The sequence below is a fragment of the Homo sapiens genome, chromosome 12, assembly GCF_000001405.40.
Source record: "Homo sapiens chromosome 12, GRCh38.p14 Primary Assembly".
NCBI classification, from domain to species: domain Eukaryota; kingdom Metazoa; phylum Chordata; class Mammalia; order Primates; family Hominidae; genus Homo; species Homo sapiens.
Genome location: NC_000012.12, coordinates 119,823,077 through 119,837,808, shown reverse-complemented (window position 1 = coordinate 119,837,808; position 14,732 = coordinate 119,823,077). Strand labels below are relative to the sequence as shown.

The window sequence follows — 14,732 nt, the reverse complement described above, 5'->3', positions numbered from 1 at the left end:
CATGAGCCAACATGCCTGGCTTGTCTTATTTTTAACAAGCACTTCTGGTGATTCTGATGGACAATCAGGCTTGGGAAGTTCTAACCTAGAGGACCTACAGTTGTCTTGGGGTAGAAGCCAAGGCTATCCTGGTTTTTAGAATCAGTGCCTTACTGGGCATCTCTGAAGAGTAAAAGTCAGGGACAGAGTTACATTTTTGGACAAAACCAGATGCTGTGAATGGACTCTTGGTCACAACCTGGGTGGCGACTTGGTCCTTAACTTCTTCATCATTTTCTGCTGACCCTGTTCTTTGGTTCACAGCAAGTCACCTGATAAGAAGACTCAAAGACTGCTAGTTTGTTACTTTAGATGATGCTTTTGGAACCTCTTGGTACCATTTTAACAATCCAAACGTATTTTATGAAAGCACTCAAGTCCTGGGTCTTTATTGTATCTTTAAGCTCTAACAGCATGATGATTGAATAAGCTGTGGTTGGCCACACACAAGCCATCTTCCCCATGGCCTCCATTCATACTAGAATGAGCAGCTATACCCCAGTAGTATAGTTTTGGGATATGGGTAACATCTTGGGATAGCCACATTTACTTAGTAAATGTCTGGCTTACATTCTCCTAATGGTGCACTGTTGGAATTTTTGGTGTGGTAACCTGGAATAGTGTTGGTGGGTCAAGTTTGATTAGCATCTTTGATAAGGACCCGGTCTATTTAGAGGTTTGTCATTGAGTGTGTCTGTTTTGGCCTCATGTTGTGAAGCATGCTGTGTAGCAGCTGTTGTAATTTTTGTTGCTTGTTTTCTCAATCAACCCTGGTTTTGAAGAAATGGGAAGTTGTTCCACTCTTAGACTGATCTGACTTGGGAGGGGATTTTCAGTTCAGGAAGTTGGATCTTCTGAATGGAAGCAAAGAATACATGTCTTTTTGCCACTTTACAAGCTGGCTCTTGTTTTCTGAACTATTTTACTGGTCATTGCAAATAGAATGTCAGGAGTAGCTGCCAAATACTAAGTTGTGTTCAGTTTGTCAGTTCTTAAGAGTTGCCGGTGGCTGCTCTGCTATGCGTATGACTTTCTCAGCCTTAAACTTACAAGCCATACTGTTTTTTTCACATCTTTAATACAGCCATAGGAAATTTATAACTGTGGCGTGTCGTCATAAATATGCATTGTTCTTATTTTAAGACATTTCAGTACTAAAAGTATAAGTACTTCTGTTATTATCTGTGAATTTCTTTCCTTTTTCTTTTTTTGGATATTTAAGACCTTTTCGATGTCAATATATATTTAAAACAGACATATAAATTAGCATTCACCCACATACCCAGGGCCTATGGAGAACCAGGTTGGGATGAGTGGGTGAGCTACAGGCAGCCAGGTGGCTCCTGTGGGCTCCTCGAGGACTGGGGTGAGTAACTAATGTCTGCTAGGAACTTGGGGGAAAGAAGGTGTGTATGTTAGGTGCTGCCCCCTTCTAAGTGTTCCTCTTGTTCATAATTTTTTTTTTTTTTTTTTTTTTTTTTTTTTAGATGGAGTCTCGCTCTGTTGCCAGGCTGGAGTGCAGTGGTGTGATCTCAGCTCACTGCAACCTCTGCCTCCCGGGTTCAAGTGATTCTCCTGCCTCAGCCTCCCGAGTAGCTGGGACTACAGGCATGCACCACCATGCCCAGCTAATTTTTGTATTTTTAGTAAAGACGGGGTTTCACCATGTTGGCCAGGGTGGTCTCGATCTCTTGACCTTGTGATCCGCCTGCCTCGGCCTCCCAAAGTGCTGGGATTACAGGTGTGAGCCACTGTGCCCAGCCCATAAATCAAAATTTTTTCAGCAATTGTTATACAAGTGGAACCTTACTCTTCAAATGCAATTGTCCAGTGTCTGGCTTAATGTCTGCTGTTGTCAGAAACCATGTGAATGGAGTAGATTCCCAGGTTATAAGGAGCCCCCAGGGAGGATGCGCGAGTCACTGGCTTCTCCAGGGGTCTCTGGTTTGGGGTTGCCTTGGTGCTGGGCACACTTCCTGGAGATTTTACTGGACCAGCCTGAGGCCTTTGGGGCTCTGTGCAGATGCTCTACTTCTGACTTGTCTAGAGCTTTCTTCTAATTCTGGACTAAAAGCAAGCAGGAGTTTGGAGGATGATGGTGAGAATTCACATCCCCGAGTTGGCTTTTGGAATGCAGTAGTTTGTGAGATTTAGTGTTTTTTTTAAGAAGTATATTCAGATCTTGCCTTTTTCCCAGAAAGCATATGAGACAACTTCCAAGACATTTATAGCATGGCTAATAAAATGGGAAATCAGGGCGAAGGACAGGAGAACTCAATAAGGGTTAACATGGCTACAGCGATTGTCTAAATGGGTTCTTTTTGCTGGCCAGAGCAGAAAGGATCATGCAGTAAAGTGGGGGGGAAGAAAGGGAATTGAATGGTAGGTGAAGACTTCATGTTGGTGCCAGGCACTGTGCCAGGCCCTCCTAGGACCTTGTCTTACTCAATCCTCACACAGTGCTGCAAGAGGATTAGTCTTATCCCTGTTTTAGAGAGGATGAAACTGAAAGGCAGCGAGGTGAAGTCACCAGCAGGAGGCTGAAGCCGCCCAGGCTAACTGGCCTTATAGCTACCTAGGGACTCAGGAATATCACACCTGTTTATCATCAAAAGGAGAAAGGATTTCAGTTCCTTGGGGTAGAAGAGTTTCTTTTTGCTAATCAAACATTTTACTTGAGGCTTCATATTCTTCTTCAAGATTTTTTTCCTGTGTATGTACCAACACATGTAATAATTCCTTGTTTATTTCAAAAAAGGGGTTGTACTTTATTCTTTACAAGATTTCACTTTATATTGTCATGGACAATTTTCCATGGCAGTATGAATAAATGGAATCTGTTTGTTTTTAATATCTTTGTCTTATCCCATTGTTTACATATGTCATATTTTAGCCAGTCTCTAACTGATGGATAGCTGAATGATTTCCATGTTTTTTTCCCCTGTTACAAACAATACTGCAAGGAATCTATTTATCTTTCTATTTATCTGCAAACTATTGTAAGTACCTGTAAATTGTTAGAAGTGGAATTACTAGGTCAAAGGGGATATTTTCACATTTAAATTTTGAATAGAGGCTGTCAGTTGCCTTCCACACTGACTATAAAAGGAAAAGATTGTATCACATTTATTGCAAGCCTTCTGTATTCTGCTGGGTGCTGAGGGGAATACAGAAAGGATATAAGAGTGGTTGCCCTCTAGGAATATCCGTCTACACTGTACCTAATCCTAGGGAATGTCTGGGGTGTCAACTTGTGGGTGGGAAAGTGGGTGGATTTAATTCAACTGTTCAAGCTTGCCTTGCAAACACTGTGCATGGTGTCTGGGACTAGTCTTTCATTATATTGATTCCCCTGGGTAACAGATGTAATTTCCTTAGGGCAGGGACTTCATCCTACATGACTTACAGCGTGCCTTACACATCTTCTTTGCTTTGTGGAGACCTTGTTATTATAACACGTCAGGTGATATTCGAGGATCTAATTGAGGCATTCCCTATTTTTGGGTGTGTGAAGAATTAATAACTTTGGCATTCTATACAGGTCATGGAATATCAGCCTGGAGGGGACTTGCTGTCACTTTTGAATAGATATGAGGACCAGTTAGATGAAAACCTGATACAGTTTTACCTAGCTGAGCTGATTTTGGCTGTTCACAGCGTTCATCTGATGGGATACGTGCATCGGTAAGTGAGACTCTGGTAGCATTTTTATGCTGAGGATTTTCCTGTGTCGCATAAGAGTTCCTGCATGGAAATGAGTGGATGAGTGATTTCAAGATCAAGATAACGCCCCATCCAGTTTTTAGCCAGTCTACCAATAACTGGCTGAAAGCAAACTTTCCAAGATGGAGGACATTTCAGCTTGCTTATCCAGCAGTGCAATAGATCTAGAATTGTAATGTGCTCAAGTTTGCTAGTAATATCTATTAATGTAGCTAAATAAGACTGGGAACTCTTGCATGAGTTCTTTGGGTTATATGATAGAAGAACTGAATTTGGTTTGCAGAAGGAAATGTCATACCACATAGTAGTGTAAGACCATGGAGCTGTACTTCTCTAACTCTGCCCGTTAGAATTTACAATTTTTTTTTTTTTTTTTTTTTTTTGAGACAGAGTCTAGCTCTGTTGCCAGGCTGGAGTGCAGTGGTACCATATTGGCTCATGGCAACCTCCGCCTGCTGGGTTCAGGTGATTCTCCTGCCTCAGCCTCCCAAGTAGCTGGAATTACAGGCACGCACCGCCATGCCCAGCTAATTTTTGTATTTTTAGTAGAGATGGGGTTTCACCAGGTTGGCCAGGATGGTCTTGATCTCCTGACCTCATGATCCACCCACCTTGTCCTCCCAAATTGCTGGGATTACAGGCATGAGCCACCATGCCTGGCCTACAAAATCCTCAGTTGGTAAGTGGTTCTTCATGTCTTCATTCATCTGATGTTTTGTGTACATCTGAGAATGTTGTGGGAATACAATGATTGTTAGTCCAGGAATCACAAAATTTGAGATAGAGTCTCAGCTTTTCCATTGCCTAGCTACATGACCTTGGGAAAATTTCATAGCTCCTTTTGGCCTTAGTTTTCCTCATGTGAAATGTGTGTCTCTAGGAGAAATAATCCATTGAATAATATGTGTTTCATTTCTCTTCCTTTTCTTTCTCTCCTATCCTTCCTTGCTCCCTCTCGCCCTTTTTCTCTTTCCCCCTCTCTCCCTCTCTCTCTCCTTCCTTCCTTCCTTTCGGTTAAATTCATTTTGCAAAATGTATGCTAATAATTTATATCCACCAATAGAGGAGGTCTATATAACAGAATACATAAACAAAGATTTTTGGCTCAATTGAGATTCTAGGTTAGCACTTGCTTGCTGATTGGGATGGAGGAGGCAATTCATGGTCCTGATTTTCTTACAGAGACATCAAGCCTGAGAACATTCTCGTTGACCGCACAGGACACATCAAGCTGGTGGATTTTGGATCTGCCGCGAAAATGAATTCAAACAAGATGGTAAAAAATGGAATAAGATAGCTTAATAGAGTTTATACTAAAAAGTATTCTTGGTCCTCCTAAGTTTGGGAAGTGTTGGGATAAAATGGTGAACAATGTTTTGGAGCCTTTGGCAGTGTATGGGGGTGGGGACAGGGACACAGAACCATTTCCCAGACCGTGGCACCTTTTTATTTATAGTGCCTGTTAATACCCTCCAAGACATTTTTAGGAGCATTGTTATAGTTTGGTTAGAAATAAAGGAAAATGCTTATTTTGTTTCTCTCTTCATTTTCCTTGCCTGTTATAGACTGTCTTTTGTTATATTATCTTTTTTACTTTAAAATATTTTGATGAAATGGAAACTCCTGCATGTCAAATCCTCTATTTCCTATGCAGCAAAATTGAAATTAATCACTGGAGCATTTGAACCAAATATCCTTAAGTGTTAAGAACCAAGTGCTCAAAATATCATTTTTAAGTCTTGGATCTTTGGTAGAAATTAAACTGTATTCCACATGCTAAGTAGGACGGCAGGAGGGTAGCTACTGAGATCAAGAGTGAGACTACTTTAGGAAAAAGATGACAAAGTAAAAAAAGATTAGAGTTTAAAAATCTTCTAATAAAGTTGGTATGTACTAAAATATGAATTTGGAAGTCAACTCCGCAAAAAAGGATAGGTCTAAGAGAAAATCGACTTAGGTTTTAAGACTGATTTTACAACTGAGCCATTTGGTGACCTAGACAAATCCTTGGGAACTTGATCTTTTATACTTTCTCTAGAAAAAACTGATGCTAGTGAAAATGCATAATTTAAGAGGTTAGAGAAGCTGCTCTTCAAAATGCCCCCCAAGTCTGAGAGTTAAATCCTTTACATAAAGGACAATATGTAAAATTTTCTTTTTCTTTTTTCTTTTTTTTTGAGACGGAGTCTCGCTCTGTCCCCCAGGCTGGAGTGCAGTGGCGCGATCTCGGCTCACTGCAAGCTCCGCCCCCCTGGGTTCACGCCATTCTCCTGCCTCAGCCTCCCGAGTAGCTGGGACTGCAAGCGCCCGCCACCATGCCCAGCTAATTTTTTGTATTTTTAGTAGAGACGGGGTTTCACCGTGTTAGCCAGGATGGTCTCGATCTCCTGACCTCGTGATCCACTCGCTTCGGCCTCCCAAAGTGCTGGGATTACAGGCATAAGCCACTGCGCCCGGCTCTTTTTTTTCTTAAACTGCTTCCAGAAAAGTGGATATTATTAGGTTGATGTTAAGAAAAGGCTTGGAGTTGCATTAACTTTTTGCTTTCTAGCATCTGGCCTGTCTGTTCTGCAGACCTGAGACCTACTTGAGATAATTTTCTTGGTGTTCAGGCCCTTGGAAAAATAAGTTCCCTATGTTGTCCAGTGTCAAAGTTTCTCAACCTCAGCACTATTCTTTTTTTCAGGTTATTTTCTTGTAATCTGTTCACTTGATCATTACATTAAGAATTAGATTATATTGCTATAACTACAAAGCATTTTATGTTTTAAAAATTATGTACAATTTAGAAACAGGCATGAAAACTTAGGTATTAAATTTAGTGGAATAAAGCACAGAAAAAAAGTTAAAATAATGCAGTTTTATCACTTAGGATTAAACATTTATATGGGCCGGGTGTAGTGCCTCACACCTGTAATCCCAGCACGTTTGGAGGTCGAGGCGGGAGGATTGCTGGAGTTTGAGACCAGCCTGGGCAACAAAATGAGACCTAGTCTCTACAAAAAATCAAAAAATTAGCCAGACATGGTAGTACATGCTTGTAGCTCCAGCCACATGGGAGGCCAAGACAGTAGGATCGCTGGAGCGAAGGAGGTTGAGGCTGCAATGACCGTGTTTGCACCATTGCATTCCAGCCTGGGCGACAGAACAAGACCCTGTCTTAAAACAAATTTATATGCTGCATTCGTGAAATTAAAAAAAAATCATGGATTTAGAAATAAATTGAAGCAAGGTACATTGACAGTGTAACCTCAGCACTACTGACATTTTGATCTGAATAATTCTTTGTTGTGGGGGATGCGCTGTATAAGATGTTTAGCTGCATCCCTGACTCCTACCTCCTAGATGCCATTAGCACCCTCCCCTCCAGATGTGATAACCAAAAATGTCTCTAGACATTGCCAGATGTGCCTGGGGTAGGAGGGTTGGGGGAAGTGGGGTTTGAGAACCCTTAGTTGATCATGCCTGCAGTAGGTTGAGAAGCATCAGAAAGCTAATTAATTAGACAGGAATATGTGTTTGCAGTAAGAAAACCTCAGCAAACTAATCAAGTTCCAAAGTTACTGCTTGGTAAATAAATAGGAATTAAGAATAAGACCCTATCTCTGTGTCTGGGGTCATTCTCTTCGGAGCTCTTGGTGGAGAGACAGGGTTCCCAGTTTCAATTTTTTAGTGCTTCAGACTGCCCTTTTCAGTTATAATTGTAACAACCTTCACTCCAGGTGGGGAGCCTCCCAGGTTTATTTACAACAAGGCTCAATCTCTGATTATTTTGGTCAAGGAGATATGACACTCTATACCACACACTTGAGAATATTGCCTCTCTTTTTCTCTTGAGCTTTTAGGGTTGGAACGTGACAGGCAGATAAGGAATTTTTTGCATTAAGTGCAAAGTCCTTTTTCTTATAGAAGAGCAATAATCTGCACACTAGATCAAGTCAAGTGTGGATATAAAATTATAATTTTTGGGGGGATATTTTTAATAGTGGTTTTGGGTTAAACATATTTCCTTTAAATGAAATGTCTGTAGGCCTAAAGTAGGTTCTAAATGTTGCCTGTACTCATAGTATACCATATAAAATATAATCCACATTTACTGGAACTACCATATATTACTTACCCCAAATCAATCAATCCCTTCCCTATCACCCCCACGTAATATCTTCGTATTTTGGATACCTGTGAATCTTAGATCTGTTCAGTTTTCCATTATCCATTGTCTTATTTCAAGCTTCTCATTCAGAATGTTGCTTTGGAGTATTTTCTGTTAGTAAACACAGGGCCTAGTGACTCTAGGACCTGCTGTGTGACTTAGGTCACCCACTTCACTTTATTAGAATCTCAAAGAATGGTGAACAGCTGAGTTCCAATCTGTCTCATTTGGCTCTCATGAAAACAGTCATAAGGAGATTGTAGATAAACCACATTATATAGCATAGTAAGTGATAATCAACCCCATTTGGCAGTTGCAACCCCACAAGAGATAGCCCTTTTTAGATTTGTGTAGGAGTGAAAAGCTTTATTTTCCACAAGAGGAACGACATAGTAAGAACTCCTTTTCCCCCTGCTTCTGCAGGTATATGCTTATGCCCTAGGCAACTTGATGGGTAAAGTTAGGTTTAAATAGTTTTATTTGTAAGCTCTTCTCTTCTCTTCTCTTCTCTTCTCTTCTCTTCTCTTCTCTTCTCTTCTCTTCTCTTCTTTTCTTTCAAGACAGAGTCTTGCTCTGTCACCCAGGCTGGAGTGCAGTGGGCGACCTTGGCTCACTGCAACCTCCGCCTCCTGGGTTCAAGAGATTCTCCTGCCTCAGCTCCCCGAGTAGCTGGGATTACAGGTGCCCGCCACCATGCCTGGCTAATTTTTGTATTTTTAGTAGAGATGGGGTTTCACCATGTTGAAGCATTTTATGGAAAGGGGTTAGGAGGAGGAAGACATTGGTTTTCTTTCTTCCTCATCTGCTTTTTGTTAGTGAAAGAACCTGCTAAGCTAACTCTTTTCTTTCTCCCTCCCTCTCTCCCTCTTTCAGTTCTTCCCCCCTTTCCTTCCTTCCTTCCTTTCTTTTCCTTCTCCCCCTTTCTCCCAAAATATGGCAGACTCTTCTGTCCCCTAGTCATTCTCATATAGTCTTCTGAACTTGTTTATTTTCTTCCCTGTTAATACAGTAAAAATTAACTAAGTTGGCCAGGAGTGGTGGCACATGCCTGTAATCCCAGCACTTTGGGAGGCCGAGGCGAGCAGATCACCTGAGGTCAGGAGTTTGAGACCAGCCTGGCCAACATGGTGAAACCCTGTCTCTACTAAAAAAAAATTGTAAAAGTTAGCTGGGTGTGGTGGTGCGCACCTGTAGTCCCAGCTATTCGGGAGGCTGAGGCAGGAGAATTGCTTGAACCCAGGGGCTGGAGGTTGCAGTGAGCCAAGATCGCGCCACTGCACTCTAGCCTGGGCGACAGAGCAGTCTTTAAAAAAAAAAAAAAATTAACTAAGTTAAGTAGTACTTGGGCCCTATCAGATAGTGTCCTCCTGCAGGCAGGCTGGGCCCCTACTACAGTTTCACTTTTAATATCTCACCGAGATTAGCTGACTGAATTGCCACCAGAGGAGAGTGAAAGCATATTGCAAAATCATAATCAGGACATGTGAGATTATGTGTTGAACAGGTTTAATGTGCTTGGGGGTCAGTGACTAATGGGAACTTAGCAGTCATTAACTGTCATTAAAAATGTTTGTTAATTACTATTACACACTTAGAGATTTGTTAATTAACAAAGAGTAATGCCTTTGCTAATCACTATTATGCACTTAAGAGGAAGCCAGTGGGTATTTTTCCCTTCATAGCTTTCTAGTACAAATTAATAAAATTTAGAAAATTAGAAAATGATTGTGCATAAATGTGTATAATCATGTATCTGTTAGGGGGCAAAAATTAGTTGGGGAATTATCTTTCTTTGATAAGTCTTATCATTAGTTTGAAAATGGGGCATTGGCAATTCATACTGTTTGGCTGGGTTGTCCTGAGAAACACTCCCCAGTCAATTCTGTTTTTGCAACTCTTTGGTTGTGAACAAGTGACTGCCCTGTGAGCTGCAAATAAGGAGAACTGAATATTCCTGAACAGTCTGTGGCAATAAAAATGAAATCCAGTAAGTGCAAATGGTATGTATTCAACAATTGCGTAGTTAGGTCCTGCAAGGTAATTAGACATAAAGGATAAGTATTTAATCAACAATATAGTAGCATTTTCATTACCTAGTCAAATCAAGATGTTACAGTTTTCCTTCTCTTGTTTTGTTATTTAAAAAATATCTATTGTGGCCAGGCTCCGTGGCTCACACTTGTAATCCCAGCACTTTGGGAGGCCAAGATGGGTGGATCACGAGGTCAAGAGATCGAGACCATCCTGGCCAAACATAGTGAAACCCCGTCTCTACTAAAAATACAAAAATTATCTGGGTGTGGTGGCATGCACCTGTAGTCGCAGTTACTCGAGAGGCTGAGGCAAGAGAATTGCTTGAACCTGGGAGGAGGAGGTTGCAGTGAGCTGAGATCGCAGCACTGCACTCCAGCCTGGTGACAGAGCGAGACTCCATCTCGGAAAAAAAAAAAATCTATTGGTTATTGTTGGTGCATTTTAACCAAAACCCTTTAGTTTAACCCTAACCTGTGCTGAGCTCTTTAACATTTACATACATATTAAAAAACAGAATCAGCCCAGATTTCCCAACATATTAAGTCTTCTCCTTGACTTAAGCTACTTTCAGTTCTTCAAGCTTAAGTCACCCTGTGGTTTTGTCTTAGGCCAAATATTTTCCCCTTTGTCTCCCCTTCTGTCTATCAAGCCAAGCCTGCCTGTGGGTTTTGGATAGTGTGACCATCTGGCTTTCTTGAAGGGGCACTTACAGGGGAAGTTTTATTGCCCAAACCGGTGGACAATCCATGTCAGGAATGATTATATCACACTGCTTTCTGGGTTTAGGGCTTGGAAAAACCTGTATCAGAGCGTGGGCCCTAGGGAAGAGGTAAAAAGAGAGGAGAGGGAAGAATAGGTCTGTTTCATATAACGAGAAAGTCTCATGGCAGAGGAATGGATGAGATTCAAGTTACAGGCTGGAAGAGCTTCATCCAGAATCAGCCCCGGGGAGAGGAGACCTCATCACGTCCTCACTAAACATTCACTTTCCTCTCCACACCCAGTTAAAGTAAAGCAAATTTACTTCCTTGGTGAAAAGCCCAGCCTTCAAGGTATGTGGACTTACCCACAAAATCTCTTGGCTCACTCAGTTTCACTTACCATCGTTTAATGAGGAAAAAGTTCTTTTGTACCATGTAACTGCTGACCTGAGAGAAGCCCATTATGATATAGAGTTATAGGACAGCTGGCCAACACACTATATAGCTAAAATCAGGGCCTCTCTGTTTTGATGGGGAGAAAAGTTAGAGAAGGAATCTTTAGACTTCAAATTTCATGGCTCAGTAAAACGTCAAAATAATTTTGAAGACCAAAGGGGTTGCTAGCTTACTAGGCTGCCTAGACAGGGGTGGGTATGAGGGGAAGAAAGCCTGCTTCTTTCATCAACAGCATATCCAGAAACAAAGGACATTTAAACACTAAAAAAGTCAGAAGGACAAATTCTCAGAAAAAAAGGACAGTCCTTTAAATGGGTTACATTTAGCTTTATAAAATGCCCTCCTGTATTGTCCTAATCTTTCTTTGCCAAGGTCAAGTGCTTGGGTGCCATTGGATTATAAGCCCCTGGGTTTCTGAACGGTGGGGGAGGGAACCACAGGAACAAGGGTTAGGGGTGAGGAAAAAGAACTCATTAACCTTGGGCCCTGGGTGGAAGTTAATTATCATGTCTTGCCCTGTGGGTGGGTTGAAGTAGGAACGTTAATTCCAAAGGCAGTTTTCCAAATTTTTGAACTTGAGATTTGTAATATTATCTTGCCAGTTAGCCACCAGTTCTCTTCTCTTTTTTCTTTTCTTTTCTTACAGTCTCGCTGTCACCCAGGCTGCAGTGTAATGGCGCAATCTTGGCTCACTGCAACCTCCGCCTCCCAGGTTCAAGCGATTCTTGTGCCTCAGCCTCCCGAGTAGCTGGGACCACAGGTGTGCACCACCACACCTGACTAATTTTTGTATTTTTAATAGAGATGGGGCTTCACCATGTTGGCCATGCTGGTCTCAAACTCCTGGCCTCAAATGATCCACCCACCTTGGCCTCCCAAAGTGTTGGGATTACAGGCATGGGCCACTGCACCTGGCCAACTGCCAGTTTTCTAGTAATGGTTAGGTTGATATTTTAGATTCATTTTTAGAGTTTATTATCATTTTGCTGTTATCATAAGAGAAGTTCCATCATGTCAATAACTTGTATTAGGAAAGACATCTTCCATTCCCGGTATATCCAACTCTCATTCGTATAACTGAAGGCTGTGTGTATATCATCAACAATTCTTGCCCTTTTGCCCTTGGATTGCATTATATGCTGTGTGCTTTTTTTTTTTTTTTAAATTAGTAAAGCGTTTGCATTTCCTGACAGTGTGCCACTTGACAGCTGGTTTAAGTGCCTGGGAGAATAGTAATCAGTGGCAAATCAGCTTGTGTCTGAAATGTGGCTGTTGGCAGTCTACTTGAGGATAATTGAAAGTTTGCTGTATTCGTTTTATTGATGGGATTCTAGGTGAATGCCAAACTCCCGATTGGGACCCCAGATTACATGGCTCCTGAAGTGCTGACTGTGATGAACGGGGATGGAAAAGGCACCTACGGCCTGGACTGTGACTGGTGGTCAGTGGGCGTGATTGCCTATGAGATGATTTATGGGAGATCCCCCTTCGCAGAGGGAACCTCTGCCAGAACCTTCAATAACATTATGAATTTCCAGGTAAAGAGTCCTTAGAAGATTTCGAAGTCACATTGAGAAACGTTATTTAAAAATTGTGCGAATGAGGCTGGGCGTGGTGGCTCATGCCTGTAATCCCGGCACTTTGGGAGGCCGAGGTGGGTGGATCACGAGGTCAGGAGATCGAGACCATCCTGGCTAACATGGTGAAACCCCATCTCTACTAAAAAATACAAAAAAATTAGCCAGTTGTGGTGGTGGGCGCCTGTAGTCCCAGCTACTCTGGAGGCTGAGGCAGGAGAATGGCATGAACCCGGGAGGCGGAGCTTACAGTGAGCCAAGATCGCGCCGCTGTACTACAGCAGCCTGGGCAACGGAGTGAGACTCCGTCTAAAAAACAAAACAAAACAAAACAAAAAACCAAAAAATTGTGTGAATGAATGTTTCTAGAATGTTGTTTAAAAATTGTGTTCATGAATATTTTATACGTATTGTGTGAATGAATGTTTATAGAATGTTAGATGTTATTTAAAAATTGTGTGAATGAGTGTTTCAGCAGTGGTGGAAAATAATAATAGCAAATACTTATATGGCACTTAACTCTGTGCCAAAGGCTATTCTAAACATTTTATTAATTGTATTTCACGGAATCTCAGCTGCCAGTAATGATAAGACTACACCATTATTTTATGTACTGCTACGGAAGAAAAACTGTTGCCAATGAGTCTATGATATTTTTATTGATTATAGAATGCATCTTGATTTCAGTGCTGTTAACTGTGAATAACTGTGAGTCTTAGAATTGAGGAGATATAGTTTAGTCAGTTAGTTAATCTTCAAACAACCTTGTGAGGTAAGTATTATTATTTTCATTTATAGATGAGGAAACCAAAGCACTGAAGGTGAAGTAACTGGCCTGAAATAACACAGGCAGTCTGGCCCTGAAGTCCATGCTCTTGATTTTTCGATATACTCCTTCTTAGTACTAACTGTTGAATATGGTATTACAATTGAATGAGGAAATGAATTAGAAATACAATTACATATAGATATGTGTTTTACTGTATATATATATATATATATATATATATATATATACAGTAAAACTATTTTCTAATAACTGTGCTTTCTACTACATTAAGCCTATTTTTTTTTTTTTTTTTTTTTTGAGATGGAGTCTTGCTCTGTTACCCAGGCTGGAGTGCAGTGGCACAATATCGGCTCACTGCAACCCTGCCTCCTGGGTTCAAGCGATTTTCCTGCCTCAGCCTCCTGAGTAGCTGGGATCACGGGTGCCCACCACCATGCCTGGCTAATTTTTGTATTTTTAGTAGAGATGGGGTTTCACCATGTTGGCTAGGCTGGTCTTGAACTCTTGACCTTAGGTGATCCGCCTGCCTCGGCCTCCCAAAGTATTGGGATTACAGGCATGAGCCACTGTGCCTAGCCTGTGAAGCTCATTTCTTAAGGCTCTGATAAATGTATATGTTTTAGTTTCAACCAAAAGGAAAAGGAACGTATTTCCTAGATTTTTGTATCTCACCTAATTTTCATCTTTCTGGAATGCTTAATACATATTTTTATGTACATACATTATTTGTTATTCTTGAGCCTCCTCTTGAGTGAAAATTTCCCCTTAGATGACTCTTGGAGCTAATTTATTTCCTTCCCTTTAGCTCACTCACTCATTCAATCATTCAATAACGAGTGCGTTATCATACCAGGTACTGTTAGGTAGCAGGTTTACAGGGATGAGCAGAAGAAGCAGGCCCTCTCTGCCTTCTTTCTTTTTCATCACACTGAAATCACAGCGCATTGTGTGTGTGCAAAAGTAGAGTGCAGAGGGAACATGCAGAAAGGAGTTATAGGATAGAAAAGGTAGCCAAGGAAAGCAGCAAGAACAGCATGATTTGTTCAGGGATCTTTAAATAGCTCATCATTGTTGGACAGCAAAGGGAGAGATGGGGAATGTGGCAAGATGAGATGAGAAGGGGAGCCGGGGTCAAGCCATGGAGGACGCTGAACCCCTACAAAGGAACTAAGCCTATTGATGTGAACAGGCCACTTATTTTGGGAACACGCCTTTGGTCCAAAGGGAAGAGGGCACGAAACTTCCTTCTCTAAAAAACA

General features: G+C 41.4%; 1 protein-coding gene across 12 annotated transcripts in view; it reads left to right on the top strand.

Annotated features, from left to right (window-relative positions):
* The window catches only part of CIT (citron rho-interacting serine/threonine kinase), a 191,530-nt gene that overhangs the window by 39,512 nt on the left and 137,286 nt on the right, over positions 1 to 14,732 (top strand). For all 12 annotated transcript variants that reach the window (XM_011537788.2, XM_011537787.2, XM_047428134.1 and 9 more), the window contains exons 6-8: positions 3,581 to 3,723; positions 4,945 to 5,038; positions 12,441 to 12,644. In XM_011537788.2, coding sequence (XP_011536090.1) covers positions 3,581 to 3,723; positions 4,945 to 5,038; positions 12,441 to 12,644 — 441 coding nt within the window. The remainder of the gene's footprint in view (positions 1 to 3,580; positions 3,724 to 4,944; positions 5,039 to 12,440; positions 12,645 to 14,732) is intronic.